We start from the raw sequence: 18,823 nt of genomic DNA, 5'->3' as shown, positions 1-18,823 counted from the left end.
AGTCTCTTTTTCCAGTTTTACTCCAATCTGTTTTTCACAATTCAACTTGAGAGTTTCTTTGAAATACAAACCCAATAATGCCAGCTCTTTTACTAAAACTTTTTAGTGATGTCACTTTGCCTTTGAGATAAAATTCAAGTTCCTTAATATAACATAAATATGCCTCCCTCATTTCTCAGTACATTTTTAACTGTATAACTCAGTAATATTGAACTTCATTTTGCTCCTGCAAAATTCCAGCTCATGCCTAGTGTTTCCCTTCTGCCTAGAACATCCTTTTACAACCCATTACTTATTCCCTTCACCAGGATAATTTCCTGTTTGTCCTTAGATATAGTGTCAAATATTAAACTTTCTGATAGATAACTTCCTTTACTCCTAGAGTTGTTATCAACAGGGTGCATACTTCTCTAGCACAGCAAATCTCAGTGTGCTCTGTGGATCCCTAGGAGTCTCAGAAGCCCTTTCATAGAGTTGGGGGAGGAAGAGAATGGTCTGTGAATGCAAAGAATTTTTATATTCATACTAAAACATTATTTGCCTTTTTTATTGTGTTGCAATTTGTACTGATAGTTCAAAAGCAACAGTGGATAAAACTGCTGGCACCTTGGCACAAATCAAGGCAGTTGCACCAAACTATAGTAATAGTCATTGCATTCTTCATACATTAGCAATTTCTTTTAAAGCCAGTTTTACTTAAAAATGTCATGGATGAAGCAGTAAAAATTAATTTTATTAAACTAAACTCTTGAGTAATTGTGTTTGTGTTACATGATGAAATGGGAAGCGCAGAAAAAGTACTTCTGCTACATGCTAAAACATGATGGTATGACAGTTATCCAGCCATTTTCGGTTTAGCCATTGTGTTAAGCTGTTCTCACATTGCTATCTATAACCTGAGACCGGATAATTTACAAGAAAAGAGGTTTAATTGGCTTATGGTTCTGCAGGCTATATAAGAAGCATAACATCAACATTGCTCAGCTTCTGGGAAGGCCTCAGGAAGCTATTATTCACAGCGGAAGGCGAAGCAGGAACTTGCGTGTCACATGGTAAAAGCAGGAGCAAGTTTGGGGGACTTCGGGGAGTTGCCACACACAAGAACTCACAAGGTCTCACAAGGTCTCACAAGAACTCACTGTTGCAGTGATAGCATTAATTCATGAGGGGTCTGCCCCCATGATCTAGACACCTCCTACCAGGCCCCACCTCCAGCATTGGGGATTACAATTCAACGTGAGATTTGAATGGGGACAAATATCCAAACTATACCAGCCATACACTAGAAATTTACAAAAATATGAATGCCATTCTTATTGATAAATTTTTTGTTTTGAAAACCATAGTTCTTTTACAGAAATTATTTATGTTCGTATATGATGGTTTTATCATTGCTATTTTCAATGAGTTAATACATTTTTTAAAAGTATTTCACCTATACGTTCTAATATGGTAAATAGCAATACATTTAGCCCGCATAAACAAATGCTCTTTTTGGGTATTTGGTAATTTTTAAGAGTACAAAAGAGTTCTGAGACCAAAACATTTGAAAACCCCTGCTGTAACACATTTTATTTTTATTCTAACTTTTCTTAGATTTTACTATAATTATTTATGGTCTGTCTTTCCTGTTAGAACACATTGTAAACTCTGGAAGTAAAGTCCACATCTGCCTTGTGGATAACTTAGCTCCTAGAAAACTGGCAGCACATACTAGGCCCTCAGTAAATACTTGTTAAGTTCAGCAAGCATGTGCTGTTAACATAGGTTAGTCATAAAGGGTTACAAAGATAAATAGAGCATGTTTCTTCCTCTTTTGCACCCTCTTACATTTACAGTGATCTCATAGTCCAGTGGACCATGAATGCAACTAGCAAGAGAGTGTTATAAATGGAGTAAAAGGGAATGTGCTGTGAAGGCAGAGGAATTAATGATAATTTTTATGGGAAGATTTGATGAATTTATCTCAGAGCTAATATTTGGTGTGAACCTTGAAGGATGACTCGCAAAGGAATGAGGGCTTAACAGTGAGAAAGAAAAGATTAACAAAGACGTATAAGTACATAAATACATTGTATTTTCAGAAAACAGTGACTAGTACAGCTGACTGAGTTTTAGATAATAAAGAGCTTTGAATATTATGCCAAGCAATTCATCCTGTGTTTCTGCAGTACAGGTGAAGCCATCTTAACATCTTAAGAAACAATATATTTTTAAGAGGAGGTCTCTGCATCCATACACTGTTATATGGGTTGAAAGATACTCTTTAATGGAGAAACCAATTACAGTAATAATAGATGAGACTGTGAACTCTGGGTAGATCCAGAAAGAAGATAAGTACAAGAGATTTTACGGAGTTGTAATACCTGGTTGAGGTAGGGAAATACAAAGGTTGTGCTGAACTTAGCGTTATTTCACAGAGTAGAAGATATATTGTGGGGTAGAGAACATATTATGGGGTAAAAAATGAGAAAAAGAGTTAAGGAATGGGAAGTTTAGTATGGTTTGGGATAAATTGAATTTGTACGTATTTCCAGGACTCCTTTGCCAAAATATTTATCTTGCATGTTGTTGAAAATATGAGCCTGGACCTAAGAAACACGTTCAAAAATCAGAAAATAGTTACAGAAGTCTCAACTGCAGTCCAGGTGCAGTGGTGCATGCCTGTAATTCTAGCACTTTGGAAGGTTGAGACAGGCAGATCGCTTGAGGCCGGGAGTTTGAGACCAGCTAGGACAGCATGCAAAACCTCACCTTTAAAAAAGATACAAAAAATAGCCAAGCATGGTGGCATGTGCCTGTAGTCCCAGTTACTTGGGACGCTGAGGTGGGAGGATCACTTGAGCTCAGGAGGCGGAGGCTGTGGTGAGCTAAGATTGCACCACTGCACTCCAGCCTGAGTGACAGAGCGAGACCCTGTTTCAAAAAAAAGTCTCTACTACATTTGGCATTATTTTGATTGGTGGAACCACATGTCATCTGGAACATAACCTGAATCAGTCTGGAGAAAGATGATAAAATAGAAAGAGAGAAACTTCAACTGTGGAACTTTAGAGAAGGCTTACGTATAACAATGATGAAGCCACAGTGAACGTAACAGTTCAGAAAGTCAGTCATCAGTGGGATACAGATTAAGAGGATGTTCTTGGATTTAATGATTAAGTCATCATTGACCTTGAGAGGGATTTGTGCAATGTTAAGGGTGACATCTAAATTTCAATGATTTGAAGTTCAAGTGGGATGTTTATAGAGTAATGATACTCTTAAGAGGAGTGTGATAGGGAAAGGTTAAGGGGTAATGCCTTGAGGGAAATTCAGATCAGTTCTACCTAACTTGACTATAGCACATATTATTCTGTACCTGTAAATCTATAGTGAAAAATATTAATCTTTTGAATATCTAAGGTAAATTCATTTTTAATGCTAATACACAGTATTAACAAAATTAGGGGATGGAGAGAGCTTAGAAGAAGAGAAAAGGTAGAGACTATTGGAATTGAAAAGTTATTCAGTCTGAAAAGCTATAATTGAAAAGCAGAAAAATTTTCTGCTTTATCCATGACAGTACCAAGTAGCCTCAAGCAACCAGAATGTTACTCACACAACCCGTGGGTTTGATCACTTGCTGGTTATCAACCCAGTGACCACAACTAAAGATCAAGGGAATTTTGTTACTTATTACAAGTAAGGAGAACAGCAGGAAGAGTTCCCAAAGCAGTGCCCCTCTGAGCTGGGGGCTGGGTCAGGTTTTATAAGCACAGGGTAATGAGGTGAGATGTGATTGGATCTTGCAGTCAGGTGACACCAGAGGCATCATCTGACTGAATCCTGTGATGGGTGATACCAGACCTCAATCGGATTGGATCACGGATACTGCCATGCAGCATCCACTTCTTTCCTTAGTCTAAGCGCTTAGCACTTAGATTCCCCCTGTGATTGCATGCTTAGTTGATCTGGGCTTATCAGGTTATGTGACCTAAGGGTCCATGGGAACTGAAAAATAGCTCACAGCTTTTTTACATAAAAGTTGAACCAGACTGGTTTTATGTGGTTATGACAGCACATAGAATGATATATTTTCAGTCATTCAAAAAAATATTTGCTGAGTGTTACTGTATTTCTAGCTAGGTAACATGGAAAGTAATAAAAGAAGGGTAAGGTTTTTTTAAACATCAAGATTAAGACAGATAAATATATGTAAAGTTACAGATGGCTAAGTTTATATTTAATTCAACATATTTCTGTATTATTACTCTTGGTTGCTTTATTTTTAGATTCAAGGGGTACTTGTTACAAGGATATGTTGCGTGATACTGAGGTTTGGGCTTCTCTTGATACCATCACTCAGATAGTGAATAGAGTACCTAATGGGAAGTTTTTTATCCCTTACCCTCCTACCTCCCTCCTCTACGTTTGGAGTCCCCAGTGCCTTGTTCTCATCTTTATGTCCCTATGTACCCAGTGTTTAGTTCCCACTTGGAAGTGAGAACATGCCTCCAGCTGCATCATGTTGCTGCAGAGGACATGATTTTCTTCTTTTTTATGGCTGCATAGTATTCTGTGGTACACATGTATCACATTTTCTTTAGTCCACTATTGATGGACACCTAGGTTGATTTTGTGTCTTTGCTATTGTAGATAGTGCTGTGATAAACATAAGGGTACAGCTGTCTTTTTGGTATTTTTTATTTTCCTTTGGGTATATACTCAGTAATGGGATTGATGGGTCAAATGGTAGTTCTAGTTTTAGTTTTCTGAGAAACTCCAAACCACTTTTCATGTGGGCTAAACTAATTTACATTCCCACCAACAATGTATGTGTTCCCTTTTCTCTGTATCCCTGCCAACATCTGTTTTTTGGCTTTTTGATAATAGCCATTCTGACTGATATGAGACGGTGTCTCATTGTGGTTTTGATTTGCATTTCTGATGATTAGTGACGTGGAACATTTTTTTCAACGTTTGTTAGCCACAGGTATGTCTTCTATTAAATATCTGTTCATGTCCTTAGCCCACTTTTTAATAGGGTAATTTGTTTTTTGCTTGTTGATATAAGTTTCTTATAGATTCTAGATACTACAGCTTTGTCAGATCCATAGTTTGCAAATATTTTCTCCTATTCTCTAGGTTGTCTGTTTATTGATAGTTTCTTTTGCGGTGCAGAAGCTCTTTAGTTTAATTAGGTTCCACTTGTCAGTTTTTGTTTTTGTAGCAATTGCTTTGTAGGATTTAGTCATATATTCTTTGCCTAGGCCAATGTCCACTACAGTGTTTCCTAGATTTTATTCTAGCATTTTTATAGTTTGTGGTCTTCACGTAAGCCTTTAACCCATCTTGCATTAATTTTTCTATATGCTGAGAGGTAAGGGTCCAGTTTCATTCTTCTGCATGTGGGTAGCCAGATTCCCCAGCACCATTTATTAAATAGGGACTTCTTTCCCCATTGCTTATTTTTATTGACTTGTTTGAAAATCAGCTCCTTGTGTGTGGCTTTATTTCTGGGTTCTTTATTCTGTTCCATTAGTGTATGTATCTGTGTTTGTACCAGTGCCATGCTATTTTGCATACTGTAGCCTTGTATTGTAGTTTGCAATTGGGTAATGTGATGTCTCCAGCTTTTTAACTTTGGCTGAGGATTGCTTTGGCTATTTGGGCTCTTTTTTGGTTCCATGTGAATTTTAGAATAGTTTTTTTTTTAATTCTGTGAAAAATAACATTGGTGATTTGATAGGAAGAGCATTGAATCTGTACATTGCCTTGGGCAGTATGGACATTTTAACAATACTGATTCATCCAGTTCATGAGCATGGGATGTTTTTCCATTTGTTTATGTCACCTGTAATTTTTTTTTTAGCAGAGTTTTATAGTTCTCTTTGTCAGAGATCTTTCACCTCCTTGGTTGGATATATTCCTAGGTATTTGTGTGTGTGTGTGGGTGTGTGGGTGTGTGCACGCACGTGCACACACGCACACAGCTACTGTAAAGGGGACTGCATTCTTGATTTGGTTCTTAGCTTGAGTGTTACTGGTGTAGAATGGCCATTATAAATAGTATAGAAATGCTACTGATTTTTTAAATTTCTTTTTTTTTTTTTTACTACTGATTTTTATACATTGATTTTGTATCCTGAAACTTCACTGACTGTTTAGGAGACTTTTGGTGGAGTCTCTAGAATTTTCTGAAGAACAGAATCATACCATCAGTGAAGAGAGATAATTGACTTCCTCTCTTCCTATTTGGATGCCTTTTATTTCTCTTTCTTGATTGCTCTGGCTAGGACTTCATTATCATTTTATGTTCAACTATGTTGAATAGGAGTGATGAGAGTGGACATTTTGTCTTGTTGCAATTCTTAGGTAGAATGCTACCAGCTTTTGCCAGTTCAGCATGATGTTGGATGTGGGTTTGTCATCGGTGGCTCTTATTATTTTGAAGTATATTCTTTAGATGCCTAGTTTGTTGAGGATTTTTATCATGAAGGAATGCTGGATTTTTCTATTGCTTTTTCTGTATCTAGTGAGATGATCATATGGTTTTTAATTCTGTTTATGTGGTGAATGACTTTATTGATTTGTATGTGTTGAATCAATCTTGCAACCTAGGAATAAGGCCTACTTAATCATGAATTAACTTTCTGATGTGCTGCTGGATTTGGTTTGCTAGTATTTTACTGTGGATTTTTTCATCCATGTTCATCAAGTATATTGGCTGTAGTTTATTGTTGTTTTTTCATTGTGTCTTTGCTAGATTTGGCATCAGGGTGATACTGGTTTCATAGAATGAGTTAGGAACGAATTCCTCCTCCTCGATTTTTTTGGGGGGATAGTTCCAATAGGATTGATACCAGTTATTTTTTGTGCTTCTGGTAGAATTCGGCTATGAATTCCTCTGGTCTGGATTTTATTAATTACTGATTCAATTTCGGAACACATTGGTCTCTTCAGGGTTTCAATTTCTTCCCAATTTAATCTTTGGACATTGTGTGTTTTTAGGAATTTCCTCTAGAATTTCTATTTTGTGAGCATAGAGGTGTTCGTAGTAGTCTCTAGGGATCTCTTGTATTTCTTTGGGATTGGTATCATGTCACCTTGTCATTTCTGATTTTGCTTATTTGAATATTCTGGTTGTTTGTTTAACTAGTGGTCTTTGTTTAACTAGTGGTCTGTCAATCTTGTTTATGCTATTAACATTGATCATTTGTATGGTTTTTTGTTCTTGATTTCATTTACTTCTGCTCTAATTTTAGTTACTTTTTTCTTCTGCTAGCATTGCAATCAGTTTGTGTTTTTCCAGTTTCTTTAGGTACAATAGTAGATTGTTAATTTGAGACCTTCCTATCTTGGTGTGGCATTTAGCACTACAAACTTTTCTCTTAATGCTGCTTTTGCTGCATTGTAGAGGTTTTGGTATGTTGTGTTTATATTTTCATTTGTTTCAAATAGTTTTTGATTTATGCCTTAATTTCATTGTTTACCCAAAAGTCATTCAGGAGCAAGTTAATTTAGTTTCCATGTAATTGTGTGGTATTGAGAGTTCCTCTTGATATTGATTTCTATTTTTATTCCTCTGTGATATGAGAATATGCTTGATATGACTTTGACCTTTTTAAAATTTATTGAGACTTGCTTTATAACTGAGCATGTGGTCCATCTTAGACTACGTTCTGTGTGTAGATGACAGAAGAATGTGTTTTATGTGGTTGTTGGGTGAAGTTGTCTGTGGATGTCTGTTAGGTCCAGTTGGTCAAGTGTCAAATTTAAGTCCAGAATTTTAGTTTTTTGCCTCAATGATCTAAGCTGTGAATGAGGTGAAGTCCCCCACTATTACCCTGTGGCTGTCTGAGTCTTTTCCTGACTATAGAAGTAATTATTTTATGAATCTGCATGCTCCAACATTGGGTGCTATATTATTTAGGGTAGTTCAGTCTTCTCATGGAATTGAGCTCTTTATCATTATGTAGTGCCCTTCTCTGTGCTTTGTTACTATTGGTTTAAATTGTGTTTTATCTGATAAAAGAATAGTGACCCCTGTTTTTTTTTATATTCCATTTATGCAATAGATCTTTCTCTATCCCTTTACTTTGAGACTGTGTATTACATGTGAGATGGGTCTCTCAAAGACAGAAGATGGGTGGGTTTTTTTTTTTTTTTAATCCAATTTCCAACTTATGTCTTTCTAATGGAGCATTTAGGTCAGTTACATTCAAGGTTAATATTGATATGAGAGGTTGTGTTTCTTTCATAGTGTTATTAGTTGCTTTGTAGTCTCAATTACGTAGTTGCTTTATAGGATCTGTGAGCTGTGTGTTTATGTATGCTTTTGTAGTAGGGAATATTGTTCTTTTTCCTTGTTTAGAACTCCCTTAAGTATCTCTTGTAGGGCCTGTGATGGCAGTGAATTCTCTTAGCGACTGCTTGTCTGAAAAATACTTTATTTCTCCTTCATATATGAAGCTTAGTTTGGTGGGATATGAAATTCTTCGCTGGCATTTCTTTTCTTTTAAGAATGTTGTTTTAAAAAGGCAGGGAGCGGGAGCCCAATCTCTTATGGCTTGTAAGATTTCTCCTCAGAAATCTATTGTTAGCCAGATGGGTTTCCCTTTATAGGTAATCTTTGAGATTTTTTCTTTTGCTTTGACCTTGGATAGTCTAGTGACTATGTGCCTTGGGGATGGTCATTTTGTCTAGTATCTCACAGGACTTCTCTGGATTTCTGCATCTGTATGTCAACCTCTCTACCAAGATGGGGGAAATTTTCATGAATTATGTCCTCATGTATGTTTTCCAAGTGGCTTGTTTTCTCTTCTCTCTCAGGAATGCCAGTAAGTTGTAGATTTGATCGCTTTACATAATCCCTTATTTCCCCAAGGCTTTGTGTTCTTTTCTTCTTCTTATTTTTATTTGACAGGGTTGATTTGAAGAACCAGTCTTTGAGCTCTGAAATTCTTTCTTCTGCTTTGTCTAGTCTGTTAAGGCTTCCAACTGTATTTTGAAATTCCTCTAGTGAATTTTTTAATTCCAGATGTTCTGGTTGGTTCTTTCTTAATATGGTTATATTATCTTTCAACTCCTGGATCATTTTTCTGTTTTCTGTTGAATTTCAACTTTCTCTTGAATCTTGTTGAGTTTTCTTGCCATCCATATTCTGAATTCTGTATCATTTCAGTCATTTTATTCTGATTAGGATCCATTGCTAGGGAGCTCATGTGATCCTTTGGAGGTGATGGAACACTGGATTTCTATAATTGCCGAAGTTCTTGTGCTTGTTCCTTCTCATCCGAGGAAACTGGTGCTGCTTTTTTTGAATTTGCTATCATTGGGATGGTTTTTTTTTTTAATTTTTATGCTTTATTTCGTTGATATGACTGGTGTATGTTGAATATGATCATTTGATTTCATTTCTGGGTGTATTCATGTGTTATGGGTTCCTTGGTTGCAGATAGTTTCTACAGTGGCTTTCTCGGATGTTGCTTGGTGTAGAGATGTATTCTTGTTTGGTGGTGTAATTCAGGCTGCCGTCCAGTAGATGGCGCTTATGAGTAAGAGCCAGCAGGAGGCGACAGAGGCAAAAGAAGCATCCTTATCCCGCCAGTGCCACTGGTCTTCAGCGGGAGTGGAGCTGCTGGAGAGGCCTGCACAGCACCTCTCTCAGCCCACACGCTCTGGTCCCCAGCATGTAGAGCTGCTGCCGCATTCGTCCCAGTGCACTAATGAGCGGGGCTGGGGGCGAGAGATTACCCCCACTCTCCGAATTCATTCCTTGGCTTTGCTGTTGCCCCCTTCAGTGGCTTGTGCTTCACTTTTGTTTCCTTTGACCCAAGGAAGGCTTTGGCAGGCCACGTTCCTCCTTCTGTTGGGGCAGTCCACACTGAAGGTTAAATCTCCAGGGGACTGGAGACTGCTTCCCTCCCTGTCTTTGGACTGGTGGGCTACTGTCCCGCAACCAACCAAGGAAGCAGCCCGGGACACCCAGCAGTGACCCATGCAGACTTGTTCCAGGTCACAAAGCTGTCCCTGGCTGCAAGTCAAACCACGTAGGAGAAATACCAGCTTCAGCAACTCTCCTTCCACTCCGGTCTTGCAACAGGAGACAGCCTAATTCCAGCAACTACTGCTGGGGCACTCTCCACACTCACTGCCTGATTCTGGCTGTGGGGGCCTTTTCCCTGCTCCAGAGCAAGCACTCCAGTCTCTGACTGATACTAAAATGTCTGCAGTGGCTGCTGTTGCCAGGTGGCCAAACAGTGACTGACTTTGTGTGAGCCTGAATTTGAAATGGTGTCCTCCTCTCAGTCCTAGGTCTGGGAAAATGCCTGCAGCTTCCTGGTGTCTTTCCCTCACTATCTCTTAGCCTTTCCCCACACTACCTCCCAGTTTTGGGAGAAACAGGGCGCTCTCCCTTTGCCTGGGTTATACAGATAACTAGCAGAAAAGTGAGACACACAGGAAGACAGACTGCCCCTTTCACATACTGGGGCTTTCATTCATGTAACCAGCCAAACACCTTCACGAGGATTGCTGGCTTGCCTTCTCCTCCCCAGGGTCTAGGGTATCCTTTACTAGTCTGGTGAATTCCCATTTTCCTTCTTGAATTAAAGTTACATATTGATCTTTACGCACTATTTTTGCTATTTCCAAGTGGATGGGTAATGCTGAAAGCCTCTAATCCACCATTTTTGGGGAAAAAAGACAAAACTCTTGGTTGCTTAATAGTAGACATAGTAGTTTGCAAGTGTAAGGTGTTCTTGAGCAGCAGTCCCCAACCCTTTTGGCACCAGAGACCAGTTTCGTGGAAGACAATTTTTCCATGGACAGGGGTGAAGGGTGGTTTCGGAATGAAACTTTTCCACCTCAGATCATCAGGCATTAGATTCTCATAAGGAGCACTCCACCTAGATCCTTTGCATGTGCATTTCACAGTAGGGTTCATGCTCCTATGAGAATCTAATGCTGCTGCTGATCTAACAGAAGGCAGAGCTCAGGTGGTAATGCTTACTGGCCGCTCACCTCCTGCTATGCAGCCCGGTTCCTAACAGGCCACGGACCAATACCAGTTTGCAGCCCAGAGGTTGGGGACCCCTGTTCTAAAGCAAAGCCATAATTTTTCATGTTTTGCTTTTAAATATTAACTGTATTTGGTAAACAAGCTAACTGATAGGCATTTTATTTAAATATAGTTCTTTTCTGCAGAGTTTAGAAAAGTCTTGTGCTTTTTAGAATATTATTCCATGTTTTATGATTTATCCATTCAGGAACATTATCCAAAAGTTTTGACACATGCAAAATCCTATCCTATTACTATAGTAAGAAAATAATTTTACTTAGACTGTCAGCATACTAAGTGGCATTGTACCTATAGACACCATAACTTCTTCACGTATGGGTAGTTTTGTATCATAAAGAATTCCTGAAAATTTTTATAAGAGTAATATGAAATTCAGAAGTTGGACAGTTATAAGAAGACTTTTAATTCCATTTCCTTGAGAAATAGAAAATTATTAATTATGCCTCATGCTTTGAACAGAATTAGTAACAATATATTTTCAGTAGTTATACATGTTCTTTAATATTCATAAAATTGAGTACACGATTGAATTTTTAGCTTTTCAATTACGTGTCCAGTGATTACAAAATTGAGAGGTTGAAAATTCACTGTTTTAAGCAAGCTGAATGAATTTTATCTTTGTCTCAATTGTATTAAGATTGACAACTAAGCTTCTTATCCCTGACACTATTTTAATTTTCATTTCATTCAGGTTAGGATCCATTGCTAGGGAGCTAGTGCAGTCCTTTGGAGATGTTGAAACATTTTGGCTGTATTGTGTTTCAGTTTTCCAGTAATTTGTATCAAATGATGGACATTACAAAAACGTATAATTGACAATGGCATATGCAGGGGAAAACAGAGCCCAATTTTTAAATTCCTTCATCTGGTATTTAATGTCTTCCCCAGTTTGTTTACAATCGCATTCTTTTGAGAAAGTATAGCAGTAACATTGTTTGAAAGCATCTTGAGAGGAGGAAAAAAAGCAGGTAAGAAAAGCAGGGATTAGTATGAAGTCTGCTGCTAATTGGAAAACAAAGGAAATTTTTAAACACTTTCGAGATGTAGTATTCAGGCCTGGGCAGAGTCTATGTTTGGGACCTATAGTGGAGAATGGAGGTTGAGTCTTTGGCTTTCTAAACCTTCTACCATGAAGTTTATGGGGCAGCTGCTATTTAAAGAGGTACAACAGAAACTGAAACTCTGTAGAAGAGCCCTCTTCTTGGGTTGCACCCAACTCCCTTCCTGACTTCTTTCATTTTACCAGGCAACTGCTGTGTAGCCGCAGGCAGGTGGCCACTAGAACTCACGCCCTTCCTTCCCTGGCTCTTTTTCACTCTCCCTGTTTCACTTGGCCTGGGGAGATTACCTAGCTGTGGGTCGGCCAAAGGCAGAGGTGGCTTCTTTAGTTGTAATGTTGCACAGAATTCTGAGATGTTTCCCTATTCCAAGTTTTATAATATATTCCATTGTAAGCTTATTCTTACTATGTGGATAATAGCCAAATTCCTGGTATTGAGCAACTGTATATGGAAAAATATATAGACATTTAATCTCAAATCTTATTCTTTGTTTTTTAAATTACAGTCCTCAGTAGTATTATACATTTATTATATTGTGTATGGTTCACATTCTTCCTCAGTTCAGCTCTCTATACAGAAAAGCATGTAAAAATAATTCATAAAGCATTTTATTTATATAGCAATTACCTAAATTATATTTTAGCTGTGTGTATTTAAGGATAATAGCTTTGTCTTCTTTATCACTGTATTATTGAAACCTGTGGAATGCCTGGCATGTAAATAGTTAGTATATAGTTGAATAATCTAATATAGAATGTTAGAGGGTAATTGCTTTATTTCTGGAGAATATCATGAGTTTTTTAGGTATTTTGTTTTAAGAGACAGGGTCTTGCTGTGTTGCCCAGGCTGGAGTGAAGTGGTGCAATCATAGCTCATCATAGTGGACTCCTGGGCTCATGCAGTCCTTCCCCTCAACCTCCCAAGTAGCAAATATATGTATATAGATAAATATATATATATGAATAAATATATAAATAAGTATATATATGAATGAATATATATGAAATATATATATGAATATATGTATATATGAAATATATATGAATATATGTATATATGAAATATATATGAATATATGTATATATGAAATATATATGAATATATGTATGTATGAAATATATATATGAATATATGTATATATGATATATATATGAATATATGTATATATATGAAATATATATATATATGAATGAGACGGGACACCAGGCATGGAGGCTCACGCCTGCAATCCCAGCACTTTGGGAGGCCTAGGCGGGCGGATCACAAGTTCAGGAGATTGAGACCATCCTGGCCAACATGGCGAAACCCTGTCTTCACTAAAAATACAAAAATTAGCTGGGTATGGTGGCGTGTGCCTGTAATCCCAGCTACTTGGGAGGCTGAGGCACGAGAATCCCTTGAACCCAGGAGGCAGAGGTTGCAGTGAGCTGAGATTGCACCACTGCACTCCAGCCTGGTGACAGAGAGAGACTCTATCTCAAAAAAAAGAGAGAGATGGGGGGTCTTGCTGTGTTGCCTAGGTTGGTCTCGAACTCCTGGCCTCAAGTGATCCTCCCATATTAGCCACCCAAAGTGCTGGGTTTAAGGCATAAGCCACTGTGCCCGACTGAGAATGCCAATTTTAAAATTTTAAAATTAAGAGTATAGCGTTAATTTTAAATCTAACCAAAGATGAAATGTGAACTACAGGTGGAAGCCATCTTTGAAATACAGAAATTTTTAGGCCAGGGCTGGTGGCTCACACCTGTAATCCCAGCAGTTTTAGAGGTCAAGGCAAGCGGATCACTTGAGTCCAGGAGTTTGAGACCAGCCTGGACAACATGGCAAAACCCCATCTCTACAATAAATATAAAAATTAGTGGGGCACGGTGCTACGCACCTCTGTCCTAGCTACTTGGGAGACTGAGGCGGGAGGATCACTTAAGCCCGAGAGGTCAAGGTTGCAGTCAGCTGTGATTGTGCCACTGCACTCGAGCCTAGGTGACAGAGAGAGACCCTGTCTCAAAAAAGAAAAATATATAAATTTTTGAAGAACTTTAGCCATCTGGATTATTTTCCCACCTCAGTTCTCCAAAGCAGTGGTTTTGGACTCCAAAGAAATATTGTTACCTGTGTTAATTTGATAGTGGTTAAAACACAGAACTTTCAGCTGTAAATATGAGTGTAGAGTGGTCAAGTACTTCAGAGTGAAGTACTCAGTCACTCTCTAAGCCTTTAAGCAGTATTTGTTTAAGAATCATTCTTGAGGAAAAGCCTACCCCCCAAAGATCTTTGTACTGTTATGGATTAACTCCAGGTTGAATACAAATAGAATTCACAGTATCCTATCATTAAACTTTATCATAAAAACACAGGAGAACCCATGTCCAAATGCCAGATTTTTTTTTTAACTTTTAAATTCAGGGGTACAAGTGTAGGTTTGTTACATAGGTAAACTTGTGTCATGGGGGTTTGTTGTACAGATTATTTCATCACCCAGGTATTAAGCCTAGTACCCATTAGTTATTTTTCTTGATCCTCTCCATTTTCCCACCCTCCAATAGGTTTCAATGTGGGTTGTCCCCCTCTGTGTCCATGTTTTCTCATTTAGCTCCCACCTATAAGTGAGAACATGTGGTATCTGGTTTTCTGTTCCTGCGTTAGTTTGCTGAGGATAATGGCCACCATGGCCATTGTCCCTGCAAAGGATATGATCTCATTTTTTTATAGCTGCATAGTATTCCGTGGTGTATATGTACCACATTTTCTTTATCCAGTCTACTGTTGACGGGCATTTAGGTTGATTCCATGTCTTTGCTATTGTGAATAGTGCTGCAGTGAACATACATGTGCATGTGTCTTTATAATAGAATGATTTATATTTCTTTGGGTATATGCCCAGTAATGGGATGGAAAGTTATTTCTTTTGTTCATTGAGGAATCACCACACTGTCTTCCACAATGGTTGAACTAGTTTACGCTCCCACCAGGAGTGTGTAAGCATTCCTTTTTCCCCACAACCTTGCTAGCATCTGTTATTTTTTGACATCTGACCGACGTGAGATGGTATCTCATTGCGGTTTTCATTTGCATTTCTCTAATGATAAGTGATATCAAGCTTTTCTTCATATGATTCTTGGCTGTGTGTATGTCATCTTTAGAAAAGTGTTCATGTCCTTTGCCCACTTTTTAATGGAGTTGTTTTTTTTCTTGTAAATTTGTTTAAGTTCGTTGTAGATGCTGGATACTAGACCTTTGTCAGATACATAACTTACAAAAATTTTCTCCCATTCTGTACGTTGTCTGTTCACTCTGTTGACAGTTTCTTTTGCTATGCAGAAGCTCTTTATTTTAATTAGATTTCATTTGTCAATTTTTGCTTTTGTGCAACTGCTTTTAGCATCTTCATCACGAAGTATTTGCCTTTGCTTATGTCCTGAATGGTATTGCCGAGGTTGTCTTTCAGGGATTTATACTTTTGAGTTGTATCTGTAAGTCTTTAATCCATCTTGATTTTATTTTTGTGTATGGCTTAAGGAAGGGATCCAGTTTCAAACTTCTGACTATAACTAACCAGTTATCCTGGCACCATTTATTGAATAGAGAATTCTTTCTCCATTGCTTGTTTCTTTGAGTTTTGTCGAAGATCAGATGCTTGTAGGTGTGTGATCTTATTTCGGGATTCTCTATTCTGTTCCATTGGCCTATATATATGTATTTTTTTAAACCAGTGCCATGCTGTTTTGGATACTGTAGCCCTGTAGTATAGTTTGAAGTCAAGTAGTGTGATGCCAGAGTTTCATCAGCTGTCATAGTGGCTGAGAACTTAAGAAAGGGTTAGAGAATTCTAGCCCCCACCCCCTTTTTTTTTTTGGAGTCTCACGCTGTCGCCCAGGCTGGAGTACAGTGGCATGATCTCAGCTCACTACAACCTCCACGTCCTGGGTTCAAGCGATTCTCCTGCCTCAGCCTCCAGAGTAGCTGGGATTACAGGTGTCTTCCACCACACCCTGCTAATTTTTGTATCTTTAGTAGAGACAGGGTTTCCCCATGTTGGCCAGGCTGGTCTCAAATTCCTGACCTCAGGTGATCCACCCACCTTGGCCTCCCAAAGTGCTGAGATTACAGGCATGAGCCACCATATCCAGCCCAGGTTAGAGAATTCTAAAACCATTAATTCTTCACTTAATAACTGGCCCAAGGAGCATTTTAATTTTCCATACCATTGTATTAGATTGTAAAGCTCCATGAAAACATGTTAGAACTATATTATTTTCTACGTCTCAAGGCCTGGCACCAGTAGCCTTGTATATAATGCAATCCAATAATTGAGTGAATGAATAAATTCTCTGTGAGAAGGGACCATAGAGTTAATTTCCGAATGCCCAATAGTGCCAATCTCATGATTAAGTTAACTCTAACGTTATAATATGGAGATGACAACATTGAGGTTTGAAACAGGGAAAATTAATAATCCTCTGTTTTCTTTTTACCCCTAGAAGATCTCTTCCATGTTTTCCATGTTTTGTTTGTCTCAAAACAAAAAACAGTCTCATTCCTGTCGCCCAGGCTGGAGTGCAGTGGCGTGATCCTAGCTTACCACAACCTCCACCTGCTGGGCTCAAACAATTCTCCTGCCTCAGCCTCCCAAGTATCTTGAACTACAGGCATGTGCCACCATGCCCACCTAATTTTTTATTTTTTGTAGAGACAGGGCTTCACCAATGTTGCCCAGCCTGGTCTGGAACTCCTGAGCTCAAATGATCCACCCTGCCTCAGCCTCCCAACGTTCTTGGATTAAAGGCCTGAGCCGCTGTACCTGGCCTCTTTTCAATTGTTTACCATTTAGTACAACGATGTGACCCAAAGTATTTAGAATAGGATGGAATCATAAATACAACAGATGAAAACATTATGGATGATCCCAAGGAGAAAAACAAAGGATTAAAATGTTAGGGAGTAGACTATTCGGGAAAAGGTTTTTTTAAAAAGGGGACTTTATATCTTCAGAAGATGTTCGTAATCTAATGGCTGTACTATTTAGTTCCTTACCCTAGTTTGCATCAGACAGTAGGTCCACTTTTAGCTGACTTATATTTAATGAAGAGGAGAGAATTTTTCAAGCATAGCAGATTAGAAACCTCAAGAAGACAGAAGGATCAGATTTATTAATAAGAAAATGTGACAGTGAGTCAAGGGACCAACTGTTTTAGAGAAAAGCAATAAATAATTCCAAAAACAGCCATATTTATTGTAGAAGCCAACTCCTATATGTCTATAAAAATCACTAACGGTCATGATGTATACTCCTATTATCAAGAAATTCTGTTGTCTTGAGATGGGGTCTGACAGTATTGACCAGGCTGGGCTCAAACAATCTTCCCACCTCAGCCTCTCAAGTAACTGGGACTACAGGTGCATGCCACCACACTCAGCTCACTAAGTCATTTTTAAGAAGACTGATAAGTGTATTAAATCATAAGAAATTTCTATGAAATATAAAATGTATTCTTAAGCACTAGATACTTCCCCTTTGTTAAAGAAACATGTCCTACCACAAAATTTAGTTGTCAAAAACTACTGCAGTATAGGTTGCCAGCAAGTTATTTGTGCTATAAATAAGAGATGAAATAATTGAAGGAAATAATATTTTAAAATATTATTATAACTCACCTGTGTTGTACACCCATATCTCAAGACATAATCACTTAGGGCAATGATATGAGCAAATGTAAATCTGTATTTACGTTAGCCTTTTTTATAGTTTTTTCCAGCTTTTGTCAGGATCTGATTTAGTCACTTTTTGCCTCACTATTGCAAAGAGTGTTTTTACTAGGAAGAGAAGTATCAAATCTGTTGACTTTTTTTTTTTTTTTTTTTTTTTGAGACAGAGTCTTGCTCTGTCACCCCAGGCTGGAGTGCAGTGGCATAATCTCGGCTCACTGCAAGCTCCGCCTCCCCGGTTCACGCCATTCTCCTGTCCCAGCCTCCCGAGTAGCTGGGACTACAAGCGCCCGCCACCATGCCCGGCTAATTTTTTTGTATTTTTTTAGTAGAGATGGGGTTTCACCGTGTTAGCCTGGATGGTCTCGATCTCCTGACCCCTGACCTCGTGATCCACCCGCCTCGGCCTCCCAAAGTGCTGGGATTACAGGCGTGAGCCACGGCGCCTGGCAAATCTGTTGACTTTTTTTCTTGCATTTGTATTAGTTTTAGTTTTTTTTGCAAAGAATCTTGATGAGCTACTCCTTTGTGAGACTTAGTTTAATTAAGTCAATAATTCACTGTATGCACTTAACTAAGAGCAAGAAAACTCAATACAGTCGCAGGATGCAATAAGGGAACGAATAGCAGGGATGCCATTGTTATTCCTCCTTAACAAACAGAAAGCTCAACCATCAGATAACAGGGTTGTCTGTGTAGGGTTGTGTATTAGGGTTCTCCAGAGGAACAGAACAGAATAGAATGGGTATATATATATAGCCATGTGTCACTTAACAACAGGGATGCATTCTGAGAAATGTGTCATTAGTCAATCGTTGTGTGAACATAGAGTGTACTTTCACAAACCTAGATGGTATAGCCTATACATACCTGTAGGCTATATGGTATAGTCATTTGCTCCTAGGCTACAAACCTGCAAAGCATGTTTTGTACTGAATACTGAAGGCAGTTGTAACAATGGTATTTGTGTATCTAAACATAGAAAAGGCACCAT

General features: G+C 38.4%; 1 protein-coding gene across 1 annotated transcript in view, besides 2 other annotated features; it reads left to right on the top strand.

Annotated features, from left to right (window-relative positions):
* SAMTOR (S-adenosylmethionine sensor upstream of mTORC1) overlaps positions 1-18,823 on the top strand; it is a 120,729-nt gene that overhangs the window by 60,974 nt on the left and 40,932 nt on the right. The gene's annotated exons all lie outside the window — the stretch shown is intronic.
* Positions 9,634-9,693: an enhancer, noted in NCBI's record as "active region_26517". NCBI's record gives its function as "activates an Ori minimal core promoter by ATAC-STARR-seq in GM12878 lymphoblastoid cells {active_cell/tissue: GM12878}" and the evidence as "EXISTENCE:reporter gene assay evidence [ECO:0000049][PMID:35858748]".
* Positions 12,142-12,361: an enhancer, noted in NCBI's record as "active region_26516". NCBI's record gives its function as "activates an Ori minimal core promoter by ATAC-STARR-seq in GM12878 lymphoblastoid cells {active_cell/tissue: GM12878}" and the evidence as "EXISTENCE:reporter gene assay evidence [ECO:0000049][PMID:35858748]".

The sequence above is a fragment of the Homo sapiens genome, chromosome 7, assembly GCF_000001405.40.
Source record: "Homo sapiens chromosome 7, GRCh38.p14 Primary Assembly".
Taxonomy (NCBI): Eukaryota; Metazoa; Chordata; class Mammalia; order Primates; family Hominidae; genus Homo; species Homo sapiens.
This window is presented reverse-complemented; position numbering and strand designations above follow the sequence as displayed.